Raw genomic sequence first — 26,784 nt, forward strand, 5'->3', positions numbered from 1 at the left:
TCCAAACCCTTTTGACAAAACTATTTTGAGGAATATATTTGTAATAAGGACAGAAAAACTTGGAGATCTGGGATTTTTTTTTACCTAAATGGACTCCAGGAAGGACAGATAAATACCTCTAGTTAGCAACGGTTAAAATGGGAGCTAATACCAACTATTAATTCCCAGTTTGGATCTTCTCTTTCTCTCAGGACTACTTTAAGTCCCCAAAATTCCATGCTTCCAATTTCCCCTTCTACAACTGAAGATCCTATGATTTAAATCATAAAAGATTAGCTATATTTGGACACTGGCCTTGTATTAGTTTGACAGAAAATTCTGAAAAGATCTCCCCATTCCAAAAATGTCTTTCTCAGACTTTTTGTGGAGACCTAAAATTCCACCACTAGAAATTTTAATATTTAGAGTAATGCTGTGTCCCTTACTGACAAATTCAATTTCAAAACACAGTAAAATTAAATAAACATAAAAATAAATGTATTAAATAAATATAATTTTTAAGTATTTGTGGGCCAAAGATCAGGAGGGAATATAGAAATGTTATTTGTGGCGTGAAGGTAGTAGTATTACAGATTACATCTTCATTTTATAATTTCTCTTTACTATGCTGATAATAAACATCAATAGGGAAAAAAATAGTGTTACTTTTGAAGGCTCAATTCTACCTGACCACTGTATCTCTAGCTAGTGGAACCTAAAATATAAGTCACCAAAATTTTAAAATAAAAAAATTAAAGAATACTCTCACTTAGTGATTTACAACTAGATTTAGGGAGAAAAAAACAAAACTCAACAAATATTCACTTAAAAGTTAATGAGTATTTGCTATGGAGAAGGCATTTTGTTGAGTGATACAGAGGATACAAAAATGACCAAGATCTGCAACCCCCCTCTTTCAAAAGCTTATGGCATAAGGCTAGTAACTTTGAAGAAAAAGCACATTGTTATCAGTCATCAGTATATTTTGGTGAATCCATCTATTAGCCATTTGTTTCAGATTTTGAAAAGCTGAAGGATGGGGCAAGCCTAGGATACTACCTAGGAAAGATCAGCCTGGATTAAGACACTTAATGAAAGAAGATGAGGGAAGTAGGCACAAGCCGGGGGAGGCGATAGCACAAAAGAGGGTAGAAGATGAGAGCACGCTGACTGCAAACTGTGTGTGTTTCAGAGGGTGGATTTCCTAGCTCTGACTTCTAGCAAATAATTTTCAAAATGTAAAGTGGACCCTAACAAAGTACTATTCTTATCAATCCAAGAGTGCCAAGCAATCAAGGAGAGAGATTTACAGACAATGTACTTTCAAATTCACAATGCAAACTCTAAAGTAATATGTATTTTCTTATAAGCTTAACTTTAGTAAAGAATGATTTTTGAAGTTCACTCAAATATCTAATATTTGCAGATATCCTTATTTCATTACTTTGCTCCAAATATTTAAAACCAGATGAAAAAAAGTAATGTCCTTAAGGAGTCAAATTCATTATTAAAATAAGATATTTTCCAAGTTGTTTGGAAAATGGTTTACTTTCTTTTTTTCCCCCTTTACTAGACCTCAAAATACACTGAGTTTTCCTCACTGGTAAAGAAATAAAACATTGAGAAGTATCAAGTGAATCCACTTGAACAGGCTTCAAAACCATACCACTAACGTATTATTTTAAAATGTTTCTCTAAGACGCATTTATTACAAGGGAACACTCTTTAGGAAGCATTAACACTCACAGTCCCTAAATTTTAAATTGGTCCCTAATATTCCATTTGGTAATCAATATCCTCCTTTGCTCCTCCCCCACCCTCTCAGATGGCCTTATTCTCTGTCAGTATCTATCACATTTTCTTTTTTCTTTTATCACCTTCTTCATTCTTAATCCTTCCTTTTGGGCCAAGCTGTCTGCCCTTTATAGCTATATTTACTTCCTCCTTCTCTTTCCCCTTTAACTCTTTGTAGACCTTTAGATTATGAATGCTGAAATTTGTGATTCATTGTTTTTGCCTTATTGACCTCCTATTAATAAAATTTGCCTCCTCCACAAGATTATTCTAAGAAAGCATACTTTTAAGCATCCACAACTATTGCCCAAAGAGAGACAACCATTTGGTTCAACTTCATATGTGTTAAGCCAAATGTATTCAAAAATGATTTCCTACTCCGATTCTTATTCAGTATTTTCTGTGATTCTCCTTTATTATACCTTTCTAGTGCAATGGAAACTTCAGCTATCTGTGGTCTAGTCTGAACTGTACCTGGGGTAGTGACAATGGCCTTCTGACCCTATGGCTCTTCCTGACTGTGGATAGAATTGATAGCACTTTTTCAATTTCTCCCTTGTCTTTGCTTGAACATACTGGAATTACAACCTCTGACAAAGGTAACATCCCTTTTGTAGTGGAAACAAAAGGGGTGTGTAATGAATTGGTTAAGATTACATTGCATGTTTAGATGATGAAATCCAACTGCAGCTCAATTCCTTTATTTCCTCTCGCTGGACCTGGTCTTTCAATAAGACATTATTGACTGGCATCTTCCCCAGAACAGGTGCTTAGGAATATAGTCTTGCTGCTTTGAGTCCTTTAGACTGGAAAACAACTATGGAATAGGTCAAGAGAATCAGGTATGAGACAATAATGCCCAGTATCTTAGGACATCCACTGTAGATGATTCATATCCAGGTGGTATTAATGGAATAAAGGGTCCTTAGACTTATATGGGGAGCTAGAGCTTTTCAAATTAACTAAGGTGGCAGGATATGAGTTACAGGTTTATTTGCCATTTTTCTGCAAAAATTCTATGACCAGGAGGAGATAGAGGAGGAAGGCAATTTTTAAAATAATTCACCACTATAGATTGTGCTATAATGATATTATAAAAGGAATTTTTAATTTTTATGAAGATGAAATCAATGCCACAATGTGTGGTATTAACAAATGCTATCTTTTTACCACAAATCATATCACCTTTGGTTACTCTGGATAGCAAATTATTGGCCTCTTTCTTCTTTTTCCCTTAAATTACTTTGGCTTGTGGTTTGTCTTTTTTTTTATTTTTCAAAAACAAGATCGCTTACAATTTTTGCTTTTAAAAATGATATAATACCCATATTGGCTGCAGAAAATATTTAAAATGTGTGCTTTTCAAAGAATGATCAGATCATTTATTCATCTTTAGATAAAGATGATTATATTCATCTCAATTATTTTTGCCAAGGACTGTAACACTAATTTTACTCTTTCTAAAAATTAAAATAGCAAACAGTTTATATAAGGTGTTGATAATTACCTATATTATTGTACTGCTGTGACAGATGTTGGCAAAAAAGCCTAAAATGCCTACAGCTGTGCACTCCATGACATCTAGTTTATACTCAGACAGAAGGCTAACAGATGTTCTGAACTGTCACTTTGCCTAAATGTTTTTAAAGTCTAAGGACCTGCTTTATAATTCGCCGGAGTCTGGTTTGGTTTCACAGAGGTTCTCAGAATTCCCATCTGTGACAATTAATGCTGAAGACATTGATAAATCAACCCTTGTGTTTTCTCTCTTCTTTAACAGACATCAGTTTATACATGGATGGTAGATTGTGAAGGCTGTTTTTATATACATCCTGTTTGTAAAATTATCTCCTTAAACACAGATAGAATTGGGCTATAAGAATACATGGAGGTTTGTTTTGAGCCATGGAAAGGGCCAGGAAATCACCTATTATTTTCTTTCTGCTAAATTTTATGCACCTTGGAAGTAAAATGTTAACCATTTCCAATGACAATTTTCCAAAGTTATATTTGTTCTAGTGAATAAAAAAAGTTTTTATTTTTATTCAGCATGTTAACAGTTCTGCTCATAACAATAACTCTTAATTGTGCAGCCTGTTAGAAAAATGAAAGAAGACAATAAATGGCATTGAGAAAGGACACAGCACATCTTCTCCAGCTTGACACCCTAATACTTCCTCTTCCCAAACATACCTTCAGATCCCTCATACAGAATTACTGCCCCGTGCAAAGGCCATCAATGCCTTATTTGCTGTTGCTCTTAATTTTAACAAGCTGGATTCCTGTAGTACACTTGCTTAATAGTTTAAACATTCTGTTAACAATCAGGTGTTTGGCCTATCCTGTTTCTCCTCTATTCTGTAAAGAAATATAACTCCAAATAGTACATCTTTCTGGGTTTGTTTCTAAATTAGTCCCCACACTTAATTATGAGGATGAGAGGGATGCCTTATTCCTCTTTGTTATAGGCTAAGCTCTCAGTAATCCCAAACAAAAGAGCCAGTTCTGGAAGATATAGGATTTGCTAGCAGGATTATGGTCTCATAGATAATGATGTGCAGTCAGCAGAAGCGAAGCTTTATTTTAATTCAAATAAGCTAGTAAACAAACCACTGACAAGTCTGCTGGTGAGAGTAACTGGCTGCTGTTGCCACATTGGCAGCAAAATTATAGAAAATCTATTATACCCTGTTCACCATATGTTTAATTTAATACAAGATACAAATTAAACTATTCACAGTGCCTATTAAAATAACAATACTTTTTTATATTTGAATGTTTTAAAATAATTTCTACTGACCTTTTAAAGGGCAGTTTCGATATAGGTGACTATCAGGGGTGGAGGGAGGTAGTTAATAAAAGGCAAAAAATTGTAATTGCCTTCCTGAAAAAATAAAGTATAAATGTTCACTGGTTTGCATATGTTAATAAGGTTAATTAGCAGTCATGTGTTCTGCTACTACTATATTTCCCTCCCATCCTTTGGGTTTCTGAGGCTAGAGTTTTAAGAGTGATACTTAGTTTGACCTATGTGAGTCTGTCCTCATGAAATCATTACCTGGATCAAGCCAGCCTATGGGTAGCCTTAGAAGTAATGCCAATTGAGACCTATAATCTGAAAATTGAGTTTAAACTCTAGGCCCAACTTTGGTATGGAAAAAGGCACAGACTTTTATATTATTGCTTTTAGTCAATTTCTCCGTAGCCAAAAGATCCTAAGGGGAGCCAGAATTAAGAGGCTTTCTTCCAGAGACAGGAGAGAAGAAAAAGACAAGCCCACAACAAATTTGTTTATAACAAATTTTTCTCTTGTACCCACAACAGTCAGCAACCAGTGATGCTTGCTTGAGTCTATGGGGACTCAGTCTACCAGATTCTAAAGACCAGACTGGGTTTTAAAGTTATAGAGCTAGATTTGAATATCTATTATTTCCCAGCTGTGAAACCACAGATCTTTAACCTAGCTGGATCTTCCTTTATTCTGTAATGAGGGGACGTTGGGGTGAGGGGAAGTATAATAATTCCAATTTTATAGTATTATTATGAGAAGTAAATAAGAGAAAGTATCTGGTACATAATAGATACTCATTAAAGATTGGTTCCTTTCCTCTTTCACTCTCAAGCAAATAGACATGTTGCCCTTTCTTCAAAGGTGAAGGGAGAGTGTTAGGAGGAGGAGCTGGAGGGGGAGATATGAACAAAAATTCGTGGAATCAATTTCTTTGGATCATTAATTCCTTTCTACCTCCAAAACCCAAAATGGCATTCTCCTTTTCTCTCAAAATTCACCATAATACTTACTCTCTTTAAGACTGTATTGGTAAGCCACCCAAACCAGCTCCCTATTGTTGGGCATATGAATTAGAAAAATAAAATATAACCATTGCACTTTGAGATATCTTTTCCAACTTTTATGTACAGATTTTGCACTGAGTCTACAATTGTGTTCATGGGGTTGCCTCATGTGAATTTTGGTTCAGAGAATAGAAGTCTAGCAGATCCAACTACGTACTGGTAATTACAATATGCATAAGGTGTACACTTGGAAAATGGCCTTAGTTTCAATTGTTCTTGAAGTCCAACAGATGATATTAATATTTTACCCAAAAAACTAGTAAATTTATCTCAGATTGATGCAAGAAGCGATTTTCAAAGCATGGTCCTGGTAAGGATATGCCAGAGAAACACCAGACAAATATCCATGGTCCCTTCCCCTCTCTCCAGTAACCTGTTATTCAGAGGTTGAGAGATCAGAGATATTTCCATTTATTGAAACACTGGATATATAGTTAAATTAAGAAACTGAAAAAAAAAAAGGGTCACAAAATTTGTGGCATATTTTAAGTGTTTAGCATTTTAAAATTAATACTTTTAACACATGAAGACAAAACACGATTGTACGTATAACTTCATTTTGTATATAACAAAGGAATTTAAATGGATTTAAAGGCTCTCCACAGGCCTTGCTTCTACCTCTAAATTTCCACTTAGTTACATCCTTCTCTAGTCCCTGTTGTCAGGTCCCAGAGCATAAAACAGACTGAGGGAGCCTCAGAGCTCCAGAAGTGTGAGAAGGGTGAGAAGGCAGGCCATGCTGGCTAGGTACATGGCCACTTAGCAGACAGGCCGCCAGCGAGCCTGCACTGTCACCTTCCCCACCTCAGGTTTCCAGGTCCGTGGCTCCTGACCTGAGAGCCGCTCTCTTCTGAGAGGGTCTCCCAGTCCCTTGCTGGCCCAATCTCGGTTCCTGACTTTCCACCCCCGAACCCTCCCCGCTCTCCAGGGAACCACGATCCAGCCCTCCAGAGAGGTTCTCCTGGGCTCGCCGTTTCGCCCACGGGGTGCGGGGAACGAACCCAACTGGACACACTGTGCACCCGGAAAAACAGACGGTTCCAAATTCATTTCCGCATTTGAGTCTAGAGTCAGCAAGATCTTGGCCGCCCGCCTGCGCCTCGGAGCAGCCCACGAGCCCGTGAAGGCGCGTGGGGAAGGGGGGCCTGGAAAGCCCGGGCTTCGACTCACTCGGCCAGTACCGCTCCGAGGAGGGGCCTCAGCCTCCTTCGGAGCCAGGGCCGCGCCCGAGCCGCGCTAGGCCAGGGGGCCGGACGCGCACGGAAGGGGGCTGGCGGACACGGCCGGGTGGTGGCGCAGTTCCTGGGGGCACAGGGCAGCCCAGCCCGCCGGCCCGCGCCTCCGCTTCCCCACTCCAGCGAAACTGGACAAGGCCGACCCACCCAGCCGGGCCCGATCCCTCAAGACACTTTCAGCCTCAGCCCCCGTTTCTCCTCGGGTTTCCACAGACCCAGGAAAGGACAGAGGCGGCGAGCAGGCTGACAAGTTTATTCTAGAGGCTTTGAAAAATGAGGTTTCCAGGTCTCTTCGCACGCGCGCGCGCGCGTTCTCGGGCTAAAGGTTCGAAGCTAGAGTTTGAATTTAAGCCACGTCCTGGGACAGGTCGCGTTCAGCGTGGGCGTCGGCCCCGCCGCGGCCCCAGGCCTCTTCGAAGTGCGCGTCAAGTGGGGTGTCGGGTCGTTTTGTTTTTTCTCTAAGTGAATAATTCAATCGTGTTAGGCCAGATTACATGCTCATAATACCCAGGTGTATTTAAAAGCACCCGCGTTTCTAAACCTCCCGCAGAAAGTGGGAAGCAATCGCCCCCTCGGACCTGGCGCCGCTGCGCCTGCTGGAGCCTCGCTTCCCCACAGTCGGGCGGCCAGTGGAGGGCGAGGAGCGCGCGCGTCACGAGAGGCGGCCCCGGCCTCCCAGAGCCCGCACCGGGAGGCCGAGGGCTCGGGACTCGAGCCTTCTGAGTCCGATTTCTTTCCACGTGCAGAGGGTAGAAAGTGGCCAGTCAGGGCGTGATTGATTGCTTAAGGAAAGAGAAGCTACAGCTTTCACGGTAGTTGATAACTAAAGCATGACATGATGCCATCTGTGTGAAACTCGTGATGTGTGTGGTCATTGGCTCCCTGGAACATCCAGACCCTGATCGTGCGTATCGTGTTTCCTTATAAGCAGCACTCGCGATTTAAAAACAGGTCCCGGTGCCCCTCTTGCTGATCCTCTCTGCCATTAGCCCGCTTAATTCCCTTTTTGTAAATTCCCCTCTTTACCTTTCTTTCGTCCCTCCCTCCCTCTCTTTCTTCTTTCCTCCTCTCCTTTTCCCCTTTCTCTTTTTCTTCCTCAATCTAGGTCGTTTCTGCTGAATGATATTTATTCACCGAAGTCCCAATCTGAGGGTGAGGGGAAAACCCCACCCTCCACATCTCCCCAGCTAGGCTTGCGCTTGTAAAATATGGGGTTCAGCTTTGGCTCCAGAGCGCTTTTGAACAGTAAAGTTTCCAATTCAGAGCCACCTCTAAATAAATGCCCATAAATTTCCCAACCCCGTGAGAAAGCCATTTCTACAACCCAGCATCGTCTGGGTGATGTGTGTTTGTTCCAACTAGAGAGGCACTGGTCAGTCACCTCAGTTTCTGCCCTCCGGATACAGAAAGTGCTTTTGTTTGTGTTTTTTGGTTTGTTTATTGTTTGTTTTTTTAAAAGCAGCTTTCCAGTTGTAGACTACTGGTTCCTGATTCCCTCATCTATCAAGACAGTTTGTCAGTTTGGCCCTGCACCTTGCGTTTCACATTCTACATTTTTTAGTTAAACGTTGAAGCCTTTCCCTATGTCAGATGGGATGTCATTGCATTACAGTTTTTGAGACAACTTTTGCGGACTTGCCTAAAAAAATATGTCGTCCTGATCTGCCACAGGAGAGCGAGGTCAACTGAGGGATTTTTCAGCTTTCTTATGGCTGGGATTGAATAGATCCAAGTAATAAGATATCTCAGGTTTCCTCACCTTTAGTCACCTTGGGCTACTCATGGATGCACTCCTATCTTACAGTCTTAGATTCAGCCCAAAACCCCTCAGTGGAAAGAAGACAGCAGTTCAGATTCTTCTTTCAGGTTGTTGTAAAAAAAATGAAATGGCTTTTTTTCAGTTAGGAGCATCCTTTGTAAGTTTTGATATCCAAAAAATACATATGACACAAGAAGCAGGAAGAGATCTTCAGTTATTCCAGTGGATTACTTTTTTATGAAAACACTGGCTAAAACATTTTACATTCACCCTTCCTCATTCCACTTTTAGTTGGAAGAAGTTTCTAGTATTGATTTAATTTTGTATAAGGCCCCTACCCTCTCCTACAATACCATTAAGTAACAAATTCACCCACCTTAGCCTTTTCTGGTGAAAGTCACTCTTGATTTACTCTCTTCACTTCCCTTCTACCCCCAATGCACTCACACTTTTACAGACACATTTTTCTTGATCCAGAGAGTATTGGGAGGTACATAACTTTTTAGTATTGTCTTGACTTTCATTCTTTTCTAACTGAGATTGGACTCTTTATCCTGTGATACAAAATGAATTTTTGAGAAACAACCATGTGAAAAATTACTTAATTTTCTGTTTTGATGTATTTGTTTTTCAAGCTTCATAGGAAAGGCTTTAGTTGGTGTTTAAATGATAGTCCATAAAAATTCCTTATTAGATGACTCCAGACCAATTGTAAACCAATAACATAATTGTTTCCAAAAGGGAAAGTGGAAGTTGAGATCAGTTAGTCGAGGGATTCATTTGAGTGTGTTTATCTTTAAAATGGTTTATGAGAAGAAAGGGAGAAATGAACTGGGTGGAGGACAGAGGTAGAGAATCCAGTGAAAACATGTTTTTAAGATTAAAGCCATTTTTCCACATTATTTTCTTGCCACAAGTGACAACACAGAGCAGGAGTCATGAAAGTGGATTACTGTCACTCTGGGCTATTGGAGGCCCAGAGAGCCCTGGCATTAATTCCTATAGAAAGGTAGACAAACCTAGTCAGTAACTAACACTGTCCCCCACAGCGCCCTCACTGCCAAGTGTTCAGGCTCTCTCAGAGTTGATACAGACCTCAGGGGGGTCTAGGTGGCAGGGCTTCCCTTGTGAGAGGAAGCGGAGGCTCTCTGTGGAACTGAGAGGGAGGAAGCCAGGTGGCTGTAAGAGCAAGCCTGAGGGGATAGGGTGCTGTAATAGGAAGGCTGTGGCCACCAGTCCCTCACATGGCTGCAATTAGTGAGTCAAAGCTAGCTAATGATGAATCAAAAAGAGCCAAGAGTAGGACTTTCTGGGTGCTAAAGACTAACCTTTAGCTTGTTCCACTCCTCCCACTGGGCTCCCATCCTAGGTTTTCCAGGATTGGAGACCTTACTGGAGGAAAGGGCAAGTATGTTAAGAAAACATGCCTAGCCCCTGTCTAGCATGCGCATACTGGCGGGGTCTTGCAGAGATGGGGAGAAACACCTTGGGATGAAAGAAGCCCTCAGTGATCTGTGTGTCTGGCTCATACAGTTGTGCACGGCCAACCAGAGAGTGGGGGAGAGTAAAGCCTCATTTTTTTTTCAGTCACTCTATCTGGGGTTGCTTATCTCCTCTCCCCCAACCCTCTGCCTCACCCCACCAGGACCAAATAGAATTGAAACTTCATTGCCTTTGCCTGTACTGAGCCTAAAAACTCAGGGTTTGATAAGGTTACTGCACCAATGATACAATTGTAGATTTTTAAAAGCCTCCTCAAAGAGACAGATGTTTGGGCTGATTAAGAATTGAGGAGGAAACCTGCAGCTGCACCAAGGAATAATCTATTGGACAAATATTGTAATAAAAAAATATGAAGAGATCAGCCCGACCTTGCAAGGTCTTCTGCTTTAAAAAAATCTTTATCAAACCCCTATTCTATGGCTTCAATAAACAGAACCCATTACCTCACGGCATCTTTTGTTGGCCCCATACAAGAGAGAACAAAATGGTTATTCAGGGGAACGCTTTCGATTTTTATTGTGGGTAGCCTGCACAAAGAGCCGTGTTATTGTATTTAAAAGAACCATCTGTAGCAGAAACAATGGCATCAAATTATCTTTGAATACCCACTGAAAAAACATAAAGCTTTTTTTTTTATTCTTCTTCTGTACGGTGGGGGGATAGAGCAGTGTTAGGATAACTGACTTTTTTGTTGTTCTCTGGGTGCATTCTTCTCGCTCCCCCTCTCTCTCCCCCTCACCCTCTCTCTCTTCTCTCTCTCCCTCTCCCTCTCTCTCTCTCTCTCTCTTTTAAAAAATCAGCCATTTGGGGTTTTAAGCCATAAACGATTTTTCTTGTTGCAGGGGATTGCAGTGGCAAAGCTAGGCTAGGTCTTGGAGGCTGGTGTAAGGCGATGTGGGTGAAGGCAGGAGGCTGATGGAAAGACTGGGGGGAAGAAAAGCCGAAATGGATTCACGGTGCCTTGGATGAAGGACGAGAGGGGAACTGCAAGCTCCTTCAACTGGTTCTGTCCGGTGAGAAGTGATCAAGCTTGGGCTGACAAGAGGCTCAGGGAGCCCTCACGTTCTTTCGCTTTTTTACCTGCCAATCAAACTGCTACAAGACAACACCCTGATCTGGCATGGACATGTAAGTAGCTTGCAACCCAACTTTGACATTCACTGCTAGCTCACTCCTCCCCCCACCTCACTTTCTTCCCCACTCATTCTGTTTTTCTTTCTTTTTTTTTTTTTTCTTTTGACCTTTAAGAGATCTGGAAATACACCCTGTGTGGCAGTCATTTAACACTGGTAGATTTAAGTCTGAAAGCGTTAACTTTTGGAATTAAATTCTAATTTAGATTTAACAAATGCAGAAATGAAATGACATTATTTCATCCTATTTTGGACGGTTTTGGTACTGAACTTAATCAGTTGTCTTACAAGGGTGTGTTTCTTTTACTATGAAACTGAAGAAATAGATCTGTGAGCCCCCAGAAAGAAACCCACTAATGAAAAATTCAGGCTTCCATCTTAAAAATGTTAAACTCTAGCATTTCACCCCCATAAAGAACCTCTTCCAGACCAATGTTACTAAATGGAAAGAGTGATTTGATTCAAAAGGTACATATCATTAAGGGGTTGCTACTACTTCAATCGGCGTCTTAACTATTTTGGTGGTGGTTACGGGTAGGGGGAAGTTGCAAAACAAGAGGAAGGGGACATGGCGATACCTCGTTTTTTATAAGAGATTGACATAGAGGAAGATAGAAATGCATGGGGGCAGAATAAGCAGGAAATATTACCTGAGAGAAGGAATTACAGAGCATGGCGAAGCTGGAAGGTGGGAGGGTTTCTGCGGGAAGTCGAGCGAGGGGTGATGGGGCTTGCTCTTTGGCGCCCTCTAATGGCAACTTGAACCAATGTTTTACTTTCGTAATGCAGTACTGGGAAAAGCAGCTGGGTTTTTGTTATTGCTGTTGGTTTTTTTCCTCCGCAGACTTAGAAACTAGAGACTATTAGTGGAGTAAATTGATTGTTTTCAGCCTAGGAACTTATATATATATGTCTTAAACTCACCAGTGTTTCCTCCTCAAACATCCCCTCCTCTCCCTAAATCTTGTTAGACTAATAGAAGAGGACAGGCTAATGGCAAATTGACTTATGGAGGGTGGTCCACGCCCAATTAGCCATTGCGGGCGGGGGAGAGGGTGTAGGATTCGTTTCCTACCTGAACAGCATTCTGACTCTTCTAACATACTCGAGAGGTGTAGGGGGTGGAGTAGGAAGGGATGATTTGGAAATTGCAGATTCTGACATGGGCTCATTATAATACACTTTTAAGGGGGCTCTTGGGAACCTCTGTTATTGCGACATGTGGTGGTCAGGGGGCTTTCCTTCCCGCCTTCTTTTTCTTTTTTCTTTTTCTTCTTTCTTTCCTTCTTTTTTCTTTTCTTTTTTTTTAATTTGATAGATAAAGGTTAATCTTGGGCTGAATGATAGAGCTATGATTGACAAGAGAAAAGGTGTTGAGGGCAGGTCGCGCTGTCTTATTTACAGCCCACTGCTTGCTGTAGAGTCTTTGTTAGGACTGGAAAGCTAATTTAGTGCTGATCAAAAGCACCACAGAGTTAAAGGACTGGTAATGACTGCTAATTTCATTTCAGCCTCATGCATCCCCAACTGCTGTAATTAAAGACACGCTATTTAAATACAGGTGAAGGGTTTTTTTTTTTTAAGTTGGGTTGGGGGGGGGTGGGTGGGTGGATTACAATTTTATTTAGATCTTCTACTCTACTTGGGTGTTATGTAGTCCCAAATTAGATTTTATTATTATTATTATTTAGAGCCGCTCCTTGTCATTTATACCTGGCTTTGCAGAATCGGAAGTGTGAAATGTGTCACTCACATAAAAGCCCCTGTTTAAAGAAAGGGTGGGACGGGGGAGTGCAGAGGAGTAACTATTTAGGGGTGATTTAAATATTTAGGTCTCCTTTTTTTCTCCTTCAAATTAATAGAAAGGCCTTCGATATAGTTAAAAGTATTTGAAACTGGGGGCAAGGTTAACAGGCCAAAGGGATCAGTGTCAGCTTTTTAAGTACTTCTAAAAAGATCATGTGAACAGATGGAAAAATATATTTTTAATTAAATAATTTCCCCCACACTATAGCTGCAGTGTTGGCTCAGAAACCGTGTAATTTCTCATCCGATAGGAGTTTCTTTATGAGAACATCAAAGGATAAAAAGCTCTGCATTTTCGTAGTTGGTTAAAATTGATAACCACCCCCCCATGCGCGCGCGCGCACACACACATACACACATATACACACACACACACCAACACACACACACACACACACACACACACACACACACACACATATCCCCAAAAAAGAATTTAGCCTTTAATCTCTTTTTATCCACGAAGACTAAAGCTCTGTACTCGACCCCGCGAGCGGCTCTCGCCTTCCGGGGCTGGAACCCGACTCAGATGTGAAGCGGCACTGAGCCGCTGCGCAGGTTCGTGCCCAGCGCCCCCTGTTGGACACAGTAGGAGCTGCGCAGCGCCAGTCCCAGAAATCGCTGGAATCCTGCTCTGGGGTTAGAGAAAACTCTTTTATTGCCCTCCAAAAAAGAAACGGGATGCGAAAACAAATTTTTATATCCTTGAAAAATAATATAATATTAACTCAATAAAAAACTAAAGAGGCGATACTACAATTTTAATTCAATAAAAAATAAAGACTGTCCTCCTCACATCCCAGCCATCCCCCACCCGGTTTGGTTTTGTAACTCTTTTGAAAGGTTCTGCGATGGTAAAACAGGTAAAGAAAAGTGACGAAAAACAAAGCATTTTTCTGTAGCCGTGGAGAATCAAGCAAAGTATACTTCCTCCGTTTTGTCCACATTTCAAAAAATTAAACGGAAGATGCTGCTGCTTGCTGTTTTGACGTTGTCAGCAGCGTCTTGAATGCCCTCAGAGGTCCTGCAAGTATCGTAACTGAGCCTTCGAGTAAACGAAATAACTTGCTTTTATGTGTTTATTTCCAGAGTATAATTAAAAGACCAGTCTCTTCTTTGAGTGTTTCCCATCCCCTAGACCAATCCTGGTCAAAGTTTTTCCTTCCCAGATACTGGCTAAGAAACACATACTGGCTAAGAAACAGGTGCCTGGTATCTTTTTTCTTTCATCTTAGCCGTAGGATTTCGGGGAAGGTGTGCCAATGGTAGGGAAGGTTTTCTTTGAAATTCAGCATTTCGTTGACCAGGAATCCAAATTATCCTAGGGAAGGGGGAGTATTTTTACACTTCCAAAAAACTACCTGTCTACATAATAAAGAGCTTTGCCTTTTTTATTATTATTATTTCTTCTTCTTCTTTTTGGTCAGCAAGTGAGGGCAAAAGTAGCCTTTGAATTATTTCAGAAAGAGAAACTGTAAAAATGGCACATCCTCTGAATTTAAAACAATAGGGAAATGTGGGTTTGCTTAATTGTTTAAAATCAAATAGAAATAATTACTGTGCTAAATGAACAAGATGTTTTAAGATTTACATCTTCAGGGTTATGGTTATTGATTTTAACTTTACCCTTAAGAAGTTTAGAGATCGCGTTTTTAAAGTTTGCTTATTGACGGAAATCGGCTTAATTTTTCATAAAAGAATGGCTTTTTAAAATATTGAATACTATGGCTATGCAAGGTTTATGATACCTTTATGTTTATTCTTCCCACCTCCCAAAATTAGCGAATTCGAGATAACATTTCAAGGGGAATTGCTATTTAGTGCGATGAGAGATGACTTCTCCATCTGGTTCCAGAATTAGATCTCGGCTTAGGTTTTTTAGTAAGTAGGTTCAGATGCAATGGAAGGAGAGAAGAATCAAGCCTTTTGATAAAATCTCTACCCCGAATTCTATGGAAAAGACAGGCAAGCGGGATTCCAGCCACAGCACCCCCACCTTTTGCTCTACCAAAAGGCTTGTCCCCATTACAGAAATAATATAGTCGGTGCTAGTTTTGTGAACCCGCGCCAACCGATAAGGTAAGAAACGGTGCGCTGACAGCCGAGGTCCGAAGGCTGCTCAGTGGTTCCCGCAGCCCGTGGGGTAGGGAGGCCAAAGCCAGCAAAATGTTGGAGGCGACGCCAGAAAGAGAGTATATGCCTGCTATTCGGAAGTGATGTCGAACGTGCAATAGCAGAGTCCTGGAGATTTCCACCCCGTTCCGCACCCAGGGATCCCAGCCTGTGGGGTAGCAGGTTGTTGGGTGAAGGCAGGAGGGAGAAGCCGCACCTGGCTGAGGGCGGGTGGGCGTGCCGGGAGCGAGTGCCCAACTTTCTAGGGCCCATGGAGAAAGCATAACCCCTAGTTGAGGAAAGAGAGCTAAACAAGTGGGTGGCCCAGGCCTGGGAATGCCACCCAGCTCTCCCGACGCAGTGTTATTTCTGTGGTCCCAGGGGGCCCCAGCACCTGCCCGAATCCCACTCCCCAAGGCCGCCAGCAGGAAGGCAGCCCCTCCATCTTTGAGGGCTGAGGAGGGGGCAGCGAGTGACTTGATTCCTTAGTAGCAGGGAAAACCGCAGCGGCTGGCAACGGGCCGCGTTTCTCCGCGGCGGCAAAGCGCCCTTTAGGGGCGGGGCGGGCATTTTTGGTCTCCTGTCCCAGCGTCCAGGCCTGAGCCCGCGCGGGTTGGCTGGGCGCCCTGCTTTGTAAGTAACCAATCTTGCTGGATTCTGAGGACTATCCAGGCGGATGGGCCCACTTAGCTTAGGCCCACTGAGACCCTGCCAACTCCTCAGACCCTTTTCCCCTTCATCCCTCACACCTTTCATGATGAACCCAGGAAAGAACCCGAACTCTGAAAAACAGTACATGTGGTTTGAAGTTTGATAGTTATTTGGGTGTGAGGGACATGACTCTATTAATAAAGACTAAGATTCAAGGCTGAGCTCTCATTTATTAAATTTGCTCTTTCACTCTGTTTTCAAACTCTGGAGATCTTTCAGTTTCGTTGCTCCAACCCTGACACAGACAAAGGCGCCAGGGAGAAAGCCCAGGCGGGCTTGAAGCAGTTGAGGTATAGACTGATACTCATCTCTCCATCACTCAGACGGGCAGATAAGCACTGCCAGACTGGGGGTCCTAATCCAGGGCCCAGCGGCTACGTGGGTTGCTGCGGGGTGTTGAAACCACAAGTACAACTTGACACCATTGAGCCCACGGTGCTTGTCAATAATCTGTGAATTAGGTGCAGAGATTGTCACTGTAGATCATAACAGTTTCTGAAGGACTCATTACAGCCTATCGTGTCAATGATCTTCAAATTAAGGAGGGGAGGTGGGGCGAGACGAAAAAGGAGTGGGGAGAGCCAGCAAAAAGGGAAGAAGGGTGGGAGGGAAGATAAAAGTCAGAGCCCCAGCTCCGAAGGAGCCTTTAAAGATTATCAGGCCAGCGATCTGAGAATTCCATTGGGATGGGTTTGGAAACCCAACTCCATCTGAGCCAGGACTGGAAGAGGGGCGCTGGGGGCAAGCAGAAGTGGGCCCCTGGGAAGGCCGACTTCTCAGGCATTTCTTTTGAGGCCGGAATAGCTTTTGGGAGAGGGTTCTAGATGTCAATGGGAGGCCTTGAGGATGCCAGCCCGCCCAGGATGGGTGTACACTTTGATTTAGAGCACTTTCCAGGGCAAGCCGCAGCTGCAGATCTTTGAAAAAAGTGGTAATAGTTTCGTTTAGGGATGATGGTGATTGTAGGATGACTTTTTTTTTCCAATGGTTTGCTTTAACTTCTTTTCATGCCACAGGTGAAAGCTTTCTTCCTTTTCCTCTGATAGTATTCCTGTCTGTCCCTCACATGTTACGTAGATCTAATTTCTTTCCCCAACTTGTTTTTTTGGGTGCCAAACACATCAGCCCTCTGAGATTTTATCACTTTTGTGGTTTGTATTGAGTCCAACTGTAATTCTGGAAAGGGAACTTGTGGATAACACAGTAGCAGTATGTTCCATAAGATTCCAGAAGAAAGAAGACTAAATTCCATTTATGCGGTGTGGCAGGGGCCAGGCTAAGGGAAAGAGGTTTTCCCTGCTTGGTAAATTGTCCTTGCAGTGAAAGGGTAGCCCAGCCTTCACTGGAGTGTCATTTAATACTGGCTAGAGAAAGGTTAAGGAAAGTGTAGGTTTGTTTTTCCCACAAAAGTTGTGGTCACAACTAAACGAAGTAATCACAGTTGGAGAATTTAAAACAACTGTTTTTTCTCTAAAATGAGGGTAATAACCCTAGCCACTGGAAAATTGGGATTCTAAGGAAAACCTTTTCCTTTGGTATAATTAATTGCATAAGATAGTGTGGTCAATCAGAGACATATGTATTTAGACTCAAGCAATGATTTACAGGTGTAAAAGGTCCAGTGGCTTTTTGGGCTACCTGGAGTTCCTACTGATCATTTTGCCTTTTAAAAAATTTTCTTCTAATTTTAAAAATAAAAGTCATAGATTTAATGCAACTGAAAACCACTGATGGCAGCTCTTCAGGTTTTCAGTTTATGTTTTTAAAGGGAATTTATATTTAAAATAATTAAATCATTTAATGGTCACACTACATTTTCTCCTGGACAACAGCTGTAGTGCAGGGATAGAATCTTAACTTACATTAAAATTGCTTGATAATTCAGAAATGGAAATGAAATTGTGAATTAATTTCTCCAGAAAATATTTGAGCTAGAATATAAGAAGGATGTTCATATATAATACTGTAAGTAACATGATGATTATTATATGCAGCTTGAAAGACCTACACAAATGATTATATACTACTTCTGTTGCTATAATTTAAAGTAAGGGGAAATATATTTAGTTTTATAACTATTGAATTCTTTTCAAAATGTATTTATTTCATCAATGAGAATTAGATGAGAGAGAATGAGTAAAAAGGGGAGCTGAATGCAAAGCTGTTCTGCATTCCTTAGGTTTCAAGGGTACTTACAGCTCTTGAGTGAAATTATTTGGTGAAATTGGGTCTGGACTGAAACAGCAATTGTTATCCCTTGTTCATTTGTTAAGTGTAATACCACTTCTGGAAATTAAAGGCAAGGTGCTGAAGGGACAGACAAGAAGAAAAAAATATGATTAAGCAATTTGAAATTGCCAATGTACCATGCAGCCATATGCATATCTCTATCTTAGTAAATAGAAAGGGATAGAGATATATGTTTATTCTTTTTATCATCTGGAAACATTCATTATAGTTACTGTCACTAATCCTTCACACTTCCAAAATCTGACAAGTTTGACATAGGAAAAAAATGGGGGAAATGTAGATGAAAGAGTTTCTATCATTTTGAAAATTGTGTTATAAAAATTAAGATGTCTATCCCCTCTAGGAATTCCTATGAGGGATCCTTCACAGTCTAAAGGAAATGAAGTTTGACAATGGTACAATTCAGTTTTGAATTTTTGCTCTTACTTTCTATATCCTAACCTTTTCCAGCTTATTTCTTGTTAATTGTTTTTGGAAAGTATGCAATGCTCTTTTAAGGGAAAAAAAATCTTCTAATGCACTTATTTACCTTCATTTATATGTGTTTGTTTCTGAAATGAAGAATCAAGCTTTGGTCATTCCGGAAGTCGTGTAGCATGCTCCAATTTGAAGTGACTGAGATCTTTTGTGACTTACAGAGGAGAAGGAAATGTTTTAAAAATTGGCTTATGCCAGTCTCCTTACTCTGAAATTCTCAATTTTCTTGTATTACAGGATAAATATAAATATCATCTCACCAAATTGTACCAGCATTGTCCTAAACATTTAAATTTTCCTTTATTTTTGGCCTTTAAAATTAGAAAATTTTCTCCAGTTGCTGCACTTAGCTTTTTAATTTTGTTTTCTTTTCACTTACCAGACTACTGGTATGATCTCTTTCACTGCAGTATGATTGCTGCTATGGTCACTTTTAGAGGAGATTGTGGGAAGGTTAGGATTTGGAGGAAACATGACAAAAAAGGGAAGAAAAAAAAAAACCTTCATTTGACCACATCTGGCTGCTTGTATATTTAACCAGTTCTAGAATTAGAAAACCTTTCTGTACATTTTCTTCTATTTTTCTCACTTTTTTCCTTACATAATGAAATTAAAACTTTTGGAGCCTACAGTTGACATTTTTCAGAAAATTGAGTTATCAAGGCAGTAATTATTTCACGGGGAGATAAAACTCTCATAGCCCTAACTGTCAAATAGGGCCCTTTTCAGATTTTAATTACAAAATAAAATTAGTCTGCTCTTCCTCAGAATGGTTTGTGAGTGGTTAAACAGAGCTTTCCCCCAATACTGGTGGTCGTCAAACTCTGCTAATTAGCAATGCTGAGAAATTCCAGTTAACAAGGACATTCTCCAAGACTCTGCAGGTTCCCTGCCGTTTGCCTTCATTTCCATAAGAAGATTAAGAGAGGAGGGGAACACACTCAAATGCAGATGCAGAAAAGAAGCGTTTTTTAACAAGCATCATAATAGTAAGATGCTTGGCTAGTTCTCACCTAATTACTGCAAGTTAAACCTCTATTTGACACTAAGAAGAAAAAATAAGTCTACAGTCCCCTGTCTCCACAAAATTGTTAGTTGGTTTCAGATATAATACTTGAGGAGTGCTGAGGAGACTTTAGGAGAGAAAAATCAATGTGCAAGATTTTGAAATAAAATTGAGTTACACTTAACAGTTAAGGCCTTTTGGCTAGGGCCTATAATAGAACAAAATAAAATCAGAATATTCCAGGAGTCATGCATTTTTGTTACTAACTACTAATCTTGCTCTAAAAGTATGTAGCTTTTTGTTGCCCGTGGAAGGGAAGTGTTACACTCCCTTTAGATTAAGCACTTTCAATTTTCGTAAATTGTGCCAATGGCAACATTTTAGATTCTCAGAGGATGAAGCATCCTGTTCCAAGTCTTTTTTGATTGTCTAGTAGTCAATGGTATATTGTTGTTAGTACTGTAGCTGTCTATTACAAACCTAAAACAGTGTTGCTTCTGTCATCTATTGGAATCGTTATAGTTATTATATTTAGGGATCAGTGATGGTGCTGGATTGAAATAGAGTGGGCAGTGATCTGATTTTTTAAAATGCATATGTTCTAAAAAATCTAATGAGAAAATGTTCCTGCTATCACCATCTTCTTTAATCTTATTTTCATAGCACATTATTATGCATAATCGCCAGCCACAGTTAGTTTATTGTCTCGATAAGTACAGCAGGCTTAATTAAAATAAAGCTGTAAATAAATGCAACCAATGATAACACAATTGTAACGTAATTCCATAGCTTATTAATGTGATAAAAGCAATTAATAAAAGACCTAGCCAACCCCTTTAACCTCTTAAATACATTATTATAGAGTTCATGCACAAACACATGCATCTGAGAATGTGTAAAAGTTGTTATATATCCTCCCAAGGAAAAAAATTGTGCCTTGAGAGAAAGGCAACGAGATTTAAAAGATTTGTGTCTATAACCGTCTGTTATTAGTATTTATTTTAACAAATATACACCACCCTTATCCACACCAATTCCTTGGTTGTTTCTTCAAACAATTATCCACAAGCTTTTTAAAGTTTTTAGAATAATGCTATTAAGCAGACCGATGCATACACAATCATAAAGTGAATTCTTGGTCTGCCCTTTGTGGCGTCTGGACAATCATAATTCATTCACATGTTGAATCTCATAATTTGTACCTATTTTTTCCCATGGTCTAACCTCCCACTTACCTCGAGGTTGTATGTATATTTCTAAGTTAGGCAAATTAAATCTGATTCTTATGATTTGGTTCCGCAGCTTATAAGATATGTTAACTTTTCTTTTGTTTAGATTATGTATAATTAGTCTGATCTTCCATCCCCCTCTTTTTTTTTTTTTTACTTTAATTATTTTCAAATACCTTCTTTTAAAGGTAAAAGCAATAGTCTTGGAAAAGCGAATCTACCAGCAGGGGGCGCACCAGCCACATCCCTGAAACCAGCCGCGCTGAAAAGCCGGTGGCCGCCTTCTCTTCCCCAGATCTTCTCAACCTTTTCTCTTTCCTAATCTCCAGGTCCGTGTTTACCTTAATATTACACCTGGATTAAACAGAAAACAGTGCTGTATTTTGAAGAGCGCCGAATATGTATGCATTTTGAGAAACCCAATCTCACCCTTTCCGGGTTCCCAAGAACTAAAACAAGCCATAACTTGAGAGAAAAAGGAGAACCTTCGGGGGGCAGGAAGGTTGATTGGAAATAACTTAAGGAAAGTCTGCAGAATTCTTTTTTTTACAACTTTTCTGAGTTTCCAGTGGGTATATTTAGTGTGAGTTTGACAGTAACAGGCTAGGGAGGGCAGAGATTGGAGAAATTGGGGGTCGGGGGAGTGATTATGGGAAGAAGGTTAGTAAGGAACAAAACAATGCACCGTTTTGTAAAGATAATAAATGGAACGTGGCTGGTAGATACTATTCAGTACATTTTCTTAGGGTGAGTAAGGGTAGACCAGGGGAGGAGGGGGCGGAGAGAGTGTTACAGAAGAAAGAAAATAAGTAACCCTGATGGTTTAAGCCCTTTATAAAAAAGAAATGGCATCAGGTTTTTTTTTCTTTATTCCCCCCCACCCCACCCTTTGTAGTCAAGTGCATTTTAGCCACAAAGATCCCAACAAGAGAGTGGAAGGAAACTTAGACGAGGCTTTGTTTGACTCCGTGTAGCGACAACAAGAGAAACAAAACTACCTATTTGTAACGGACGTGCTGCCATTGCCCTCCGCATTGAGCGCCTACCTATTGAAATCTTTACGTCGGGACAATGGGAGAGCGGCTAAAATTACCCTCTTGGGTCCTGGGCGGGCAAGATTCCTGAGCCCCTACCCCCGCCCCCATCTCATCCTCCTCTAACCCGGGCCTTGCTGGGCTCCCCCTTCCCCAGTCCCGGCCGCCTTCTCCCAGTGTGCGCTGCCTGCACCTGTGCCTGGAGAGCATCGACCCCGCCTCCCAGGCCTTGAGCCCCTTTGCGGCGCAGCCCCAGCCTTGCGCGGCCTGGGCTTTGCGGCCACCACAATGGAAATCTACGGGGAAAATGCCAGGGCTGGTTCTGCTGGAGTCCTGGGAACTCTGCGTGGGAGGGAGTTTGTGACTGCGGCCCAAAAGCCACCTCCATACAGTGCCGTGGGATGCCAGGAAGTTGAAATCACCCTCCCCCATCGCCTGCACTTTTGAGCGCCCTTCCGTCTGTGTCTTTCCCCAGCCCCCATTTGAAAGCCGCACGACCGAAACCCTTCTTACGGGGAGGCATGGGATGGGAATGGGGAGTGGGGGCAGACAGTAGAAGCATCCCCTTTGCTACGGTTGAATGAAGACAGTCTAGTGGGAGATGTGGCTGGGGCTAAGAGGAAGAGCTGCAGTTTCCTGGGCCAAAGAGCTGAGTTGGACAGGGAGATGGCAGCTTACCAAGGCCTGCTGGTTCTCAGCTCTAGAGTCTGCCTTATGGTCCGAGCAGGATTTATTTTTAAGAACAGAGCAAGTTACGTGGAAGCAAGGAAGGTTTTGAGGACAGAGGTTTGGGTCTCCTAACTTCTAGTCGGGACTGTGAGAAGGGCGTGAGAGAGTGTTGGCACCTGTAAGGTAAGAGAGGAGAGCGGAAGAGCGCAGTACGGGAGCGGCACCAGAGGGGCTGGAGTTGGGGGGGAGTGCTGTGGATGAGCGGGAGAACAATGACACACCAACTCCTGCACTGGCTGTTTCCAGAAATACGAGTTGGACAGCCGCCCTGAGCCACCCACTGTGCCCTGCCCCACCCCCGCACCTTAGCTGCTTCCCGCGTCCCATCCTCATTTAAGTACCCTGCACCAAAAAGTAAATCAATATTAAGTTTAAAGAAAAAAAAACCCACGTAGTCTTAGTGCTGTTTACCCACTTCCTTCGAAAAGGCGTGTGGTGTGACCTGTTGCTGCGAGAGGGGATACAAAGGTTTCTCAGTGGCTGGCAGGCTGGCTCTGGGAGCCTCCTCCCCCTCCTCGCCTGCCCCCTCCTCCCCCGGCCTCCCCCGCGCGGCCGGCGGCGCGGGAGGCCCCGCCCCCTTTCATGCAAAACCCGGCAGCGAGGCTGGGCTCGAGTGGAGGAGCCGCCGCGCGCTGATTGGTCGCTAGAAACCCATTTATTCCCTGACAGCCCCCGTCACATGGATGGTTGTCTATTAACTTGTTCAAAAAAGTATCAGGAGTTGTCAAGGCAGAGAAGAGAGTGTTTGCAAAAGGGGGAAAGTAGTTTGCTGCCTCTTTAAGACTAGGACTGAGAGAAAGAAGAGGAGAGAGAAAGAAAGGGAGAGAAGTTTGAGCCCCAGGCTTAAGCCTTTCCAAAAAATAATAATAACAATCATCGGCGGCGGCAGGATCGGCCAGAGGAGGAGGGAAGCGCTTTTTTTGATCCTGATTCCAGTTTGCCTCTCTCTTTTTTTCCCCCAAATTATTCTTCGCCTGATTTTCCTCGCGGAGCCCTGCGCTCCCGACACCCCCGCCCGCCTCCCCTCCTCCTCTCCCCCCGCCCGCGGGCCCCCCAAAGTCCCGGCCGGGCCGAGGGTCGGCGGCCGCCGGCGGGCCGGGCCCGCGCACAGCGCCCGCATGTACAACATGATGGAGACGGAGCTGAAGCCGCCGGGCCCGCAGCAAACTTCGGGGGGCGGCGGCGGCAACTCCACCGCGGCGGCGGCCGGCGGCAACCAGAAAAACAGCCCGGACCGCGTCAAGCGGCCCATGAATGCCTTCATGGTGTGGTCCCGCGGGCAGCGGCGCAAGATGGCCCAGGAGAACCCCAAGATGCACAACTCGGAGATCAGCAAGCGCCTGGGCGCCGAGTGGAAACTTTTGTCGGAGACGGAGAAGCGGCCGTTCATCGACGAGGCTAAGCGGCTGCGAGCGCTGCACATGAAGGAGCACCCGGATTATAAATACCGGCCCCGGCGGAAAACCAAGACGCTCATGAAGAAGGATAAGTACACGCTGCCCGGCGGGCTGCTGGCCCCCGGCGGCAATAGCATGGCGAGCGGGGTCGGGGTGGGCGCCGGCCTGGGCGCGGGCGTGAACCAGCGCATGGACAGTTACGCGCACATGAACGGCTGGAGCAACGGCAGCTACAGCATGATGCAGGACCAGCTGGGCTACCCGCAGCACCCGGGCCTCAATGCGCACGGCGCAGCGCAGATGCAGCCCATGCACCGCTACGACGTGAGCGCCCTGCAGTACAACTCCATGACCAGCTCGCAGACCTACATGAACGGCTCGCCCACCTACAGCATGTCCTACTCGCAGCAGGGCACCCCTGGCATGGCTCTTGGCTCCATGGGTTCGGTGGTCAAGTCCGAGGCCAGCTCCAGCCCCCCTGTGGTTACCTCTTCCTCCCACTCCAGGGCGCCCTGCCAGGCCGGGGACCTCCGGGACATGATCAGCATGTATCTCCCCGGCGCCGAGGTGCCGGAACCCGCCGCCCCCAGCAGACTTCACATGTCCCAGCACTACCAGAGCGGCCCGGTGCCCGGCACGGCCATTAACGGCACACTGCCCCTCTCACACATGTGAGGGCCGGACAGCGAACTGGAGGGGGGAGAAATTTTCAAAGAAAAACGAGGGAAATGGGAGGGGTGCAAAAGAGGAGAGTAAGAAACAGCATGGAGAAAACCCGGTACGCTCAAAAAGAAAAAGGAAAAAAAAAAATCCCATCACCCACAGCAAATGACAGCTGCAAAAGAGAACACCAATCCCATCCACACTCACGCAAAAACCGCGATGCCGACAAGAAAACTTTTATGAGAGAGATCCTGGACTTCTTTTTGGGGGACTATTTTTGTACAGAGAAAACCTGGGGAGGGTGGGGAGGGCGGGGGAATGGACCTTGTATAGATCTGGAGGAAAGAAAGCTACGAAAAACTTTTTAAAAGTTCTAGTGGTACGGTAGGAGCTTTGCAGGAAGTTTGCAAAAGTCTTTACCAATAATATTTAGAGCTAGTCTCCAAGCGACGAAAAAAATGTTTTAATATTTGCAAGCAACTTTTGTACAGTATTTATCGAGATAAACATGGCAATCAAAATGTCCATTGTTTATAAGCTGAGAATTTGCCAATATTTTTCAAGGAGAGGCTTCTTGCTGAATTTTGATTCTGCAGCTGAAATTTAGGACAGTTGCAAACGTGAAAAGAAGAAAATTATTCAAATTTGGACATTTTAATTGTTTAAAAATTGTACAAAAGGAAAAAATTAGAATAAGTACTGGCGAACCATCTCTGTGGTCTTGTTTAAAAAGGGCAAAAGTTTTAGACTGTACTAAATTTTATAACTTACTGTTAAAAGCAAAAATGGCCATGCAGGTTGACACCGTTGGTAATTTATAATAGCTTTTGTTCGATCCCAACTTTCCATTTTGTTCAGATAAAAAAAACCATGAAATTACTGTGTTTGAAATATTTTCTTATGGTTTGTAATATTTCTGTAAATTTATTGTGATATTTTAAGGTTTTCCCCCCTTTATTTTCCGTAGTTGTATTTTAAAAGATTCGGCTCTGTATTATTTGAATCAGTCTGCCGAGAATCCATGTATATATTTGAACTAATATCATCCTTATAACAGGTACATTTTCAACTTAAGTTTTTACTCCATTATGCACAGTTTGAGATAAATAAATTTTTGAAATATGGACACTGAAATTATTCTTGAGTCTTTCATTTATTTGGATAACACTGTGATTATACATAACTTTTCGGGGAATTATAATACTGTGCTCAGCCAAGAAAGCAAAATACCAAAAACCTTGGTATTACTAGTCCAGCATCATGTGCTAATGTTAACTGCAAAAAAGAAACGGCTGGATGATTAATAAGTACTGGAAAAATTGAAATTTCTGTCATTTCTAAAATAGAAACTAGAGACATATATTGTAAATCCGCCCCCTCCTTTTCTAAGCAGCATGAATAAGCATGATGGGGACCTATACTTAAAACTGATTTATGCCACTTGTTGCCAGAAAGGATTCAATTCTGAAATTTTTCATGTAGTTTAGCAGATGGGATATTGAGCCAAATCAGAACCAGGTTGGCTGGTTTTGTTTTCATTTTCTTCACAGCACAATGGCCCTTTGAAACCTGGCTATAGAGAAAAATGATGCTTCTTGTATCAGAATAATTGCAAACTAGACATGCAAAGTGTTCATCTGCTGGGTGGGTGTTTGGATTACTCTGGCCCTGCTATTGTCTGAGAGGAAACAAGTGGTTTGCTTTCTTTGTTCCTTGACTTCATAAACTTTCTCCTCTACATTTTCCTGTTCGGGGAGAGGGAAAGAAAAGAACATCTTGCAAAACTCCCCGGCTTATCATAAACATAGTTTTTTTTATTATTTATTTTCTTTTTTCCCCTCTCTCTCCCTCTCTCCCTGAATTCCATTTCTTAAATTGGCAGCGCGGGTCCAAGCCTGTAGCCCCAAATCGGATAATCTCTGCAGCTGATAACAAGCAAAAGAGAAGCCAGGCAACAGCCATATTAAAGAAGAAAACAATCAACTCTGAGGTAGATATTTTACTTTGTCCGGTCTAATCACATTTGGAGATGATTATGCTTTTGATCTGTTAACAATGTTTTACTACTGTAGTAGAGAAGTGGGGGAGGGGAAAGGGGTGGGGAAACAAGAT

At 42.5% G+C, this 26,784-nt stretch overlaps 1 protein-coding gene and 1 long non-coding RNA gene across 7 annotated transcripts in view, besides 13 other annotated features; both read left to right on the top strand.

Moving 5' to 3' along the window:
* The window catches only part of SOX2-OT (SOX2 overlapping transcript), a 685,549-nt gene that overhangs the window by 631,951 nt on the left and 26,814 nt on the right, over positions 1-26,784 (top strand). For 2 of the 6 annotated variants that reach the window (NR_075091.1, NR_004053.3), the window contains 2 exons: positions 10,968-11,253; positions 26,555-26,662. The exons of 2 other annotated variants lie outside the window; for them this stretch is intronic. This is a non-coding gene — a long non-coding RNA (SOX2 overlapping transcript). The remainder of the gene's footprint in view (positions 1-10,967; positions 11,254-26,554; positions 26,663-26,784) is intronic. 2 more of the 6 variants (NR_075092.1, NR_075089.1) reach the window with 1 other exon arrangement.
* Positions 16,159-16,660: an enhancer, noted in NCBI's record as "H3K4me1 hESC enhancer chr3:181422577-181423078 (GRCh37/hg19 assembly coordinates)". NCBI's record gives its function as "activates a minimal SCP1, AML or CMV promoter by ChIP-STARR-seq in primed H9 embryonic stem cells {active_cell/tissue: H9 hESC(primed)}" and the evidence as "EXISTENCE:reporter gene assay evidence [ECO:0000049][PMID:30033119]".
* Positions 19,218-20,215: an enhancer, noted in NCBI's record as "OCT4-NANOG hESC enhancer chr3:181425636-181426633 (GRCh37/hg19 assembly coordinates)". NCBI's record gives its function as "activates a minimal SCP1, AML or CMV promoter by ChIP-STARR-seq in naive H9 embryonic stem cells {active_cell/tissue: H9 hESC(naive)}" and the evidence as "EXISTENCE:reporter gene assay evidence [ECO:0000049][PMID:30033119]".
* Positions 19,218-24,284: a biological region, named in NCBI's record as "SOX2 5' regulatory region". NCBI's record gives its function as "regulatory_interactions: LOC108281178 | SOX2".
* Positions 19,232-19,628: an enhancer, noted in NCBI's record as "SRR1 fragment used in the SI-Sp and SI-Sp-SII reporter constructs". NCBI's record gives its function as "activates the -789 to +253 SOX2 promoter by reporter assays in PA-1 teratoma cells {active_cell/tissue: PA-1}" and the evidence as "EXISTENCE:reporter gene assay evidence [ECO:0000049][PMID:23796710]".
* Positions 19,331-19,625: a silencer, noted in NCBI's record as "tiled region #720; HepG2 Repressive non-DNase unmatched - State 22:ReprW". NCBI's record gives its function as "represses a minimal TATA promoter and a strong SV40 promoter by Sharpr-MPRA in HepG2 cells {active_cell/tissue: HepG2}" and the evidence as "EXISTENCE:reporter gene assay evidence [ECO:0000049][PMID:27701403]".
* Positions 21,545-21,557: a protein binding site, noted in NCBI's record as "HMGA2 probe". NCBI's record gives its function as "binds HMGA2 to positively regulate SOX2 transcription in glioblastoma cells {active_cell/tissue: GBM}" and the evidence as "EXISTENCE:protein binding evidence [ECO:0000024][PMID:24332177]".
* Positions 21,724-22,577: an enhancer, noted in NCBI's record as "H3K27ac-H3K4me1 hESC enhancer chr3:181428142-181428995 (GRCh37/hg19 assembly coordinates)". NCBI's record gives its function as "activates a minimal SCP1, AML or CMV promoter by ChIP-STARR-seq in primed H9 embryonic stem cells {active_cell/tissue: H9 hESC(primed)}" and the evidence as "EXISTENCE:reporter gene assay evidence [ECO:0000049][PMID:30033119]".
* Positions 22,523-23,556: a promoter, noted in NCBI's record as "-789 to +253 SOX2 promoter fragment used in reporter constructs". NCBI's record gives its function as "drives SOX2 gene expression in MCF-7, T-47D, MDA-MB-231, MDA-MB-436 and ZR-75-1 breast cancer cells {active_cell/tissue: MCF-7 | T-47D | MDA-MB-231 | MDA-MB-436 | ZR-75-1}" and the evidence as "EXISTENCE:reporter gene assay evidence [ECO:0000049][PMID:23796710]".
* Positions 22,578-23,430: an enhancer, noted in NCBI's record as "NANOG-H3K27ac-H3K4me1 hESC enhancer chr3:181428996-181429848 (GRCh37/hg19 assembly coordinates)". NCBI's record gives its function as "activates a minimal SCP1, AML or CMV promoter by ChIP-STARR-seq in primed H9 embryonic stem cells {active_cell/tissue: H9 hESC(primed)}" and the evidence as "EXISTENCE:reporter gene assay evidence [ECO:0000049][PMID:30033119]".
* Positions 23,022-23,046: a protein binding site, noted in NCBI's record as "Stat6 A probe". NCBI's record gives its function as "binds STAT6 in MKN45 cells {active_cell/tissue: MKN45}" and the evidence as "EXISTENCE:protein binding evidence [ECO:0000024][PMID:19520737]".
* Positions 23,136-23,195: a silencer, noted in NCBI's record as "silent region_14929". NCBI's record gives its function as "represses an Ori minimal core promoter by ATAC-STARR-seq in GM12878 lymphoblastoid cells {active_cell/tissue: GM12878}" and the evidence as "EXISTENCE:reporter gene assay evidence [ECO:0000049][PMID:35858748]".
* SOX2 (SRY-box transcription factor 2) lies at positions 23,295-25,806 on the top strand. Its single transcript, NM_003106.4, has one exon. The coding sequence runs from the start codon at positions 23,731-23,733 to the stop codon at positions 24,682-24,684; it is 954 nt and encodes a 317-aa protein (NP_003097.1). The 5' UTR covers positions 23,295-23,730; the 3' UTR covers positions 24,685-25,806.
* Positions 23,431-24,284: an enhancer, noted in NCBI's record as "OCT4-NANOG-H3K27ac-H3K4me1 hESC enhancer chr3:181429849-181430702 (GRCh37/hg19 assembly coordinates)". NCBI's record gives its function as "activates a minimal SCP1, AML or CMV promoter by ChIP-STARR-seq in naive H9 embryonic stem cells {active_cell/tissue: H9 hESC(naive)}" and the evidence as "EXISTENCE:reporter gene assay evidence [ECO:0000049][PMID:30033119]".
* Positions 24,285-25,136: an enhancer, noted in NCBI's record as "OCT4-NANOG-H3K27ac-H3K4me1 hESC enhancer chr3:181430703-181431554 (GRCh37/hg19 assembly coordinates)". NCBI's record gives its function as "activates a minimal SCP1, AML or CMV promoter by ChIP-STARR-seq in primed H9 embryonic stem cells {active_cell/tissue: H9 hESC(primed)}" and the evidence as "EXISTENCE:reporter gene assay evidence [ECO:0000049][PMID:30033119]".

The sequence above is a fragment of the Homo sapiens genome, chromosome 3 (assembly GCF_000001405.40).
Source record: "Homo sapiens chromosome 3, GRCh38.p14 Primary Assembly".
In the NCBI taxonomy this organism is placed as follows: domain Eukaryota; kingdom Metazoa; phylum Chordata; class Mammalia; order Primates; family Hominidae; genus Homo; species Homo sapiens.

What these genes read in the sequence shown, in the direction of transcription:
- SOX2 (NM_003106.4), top strand. Translation starts at nt 23,731, where the DNA reads ATGTACAACATGATGGAGACGGAGCTGAAGCCGCCGGGCCCGCAGCAA.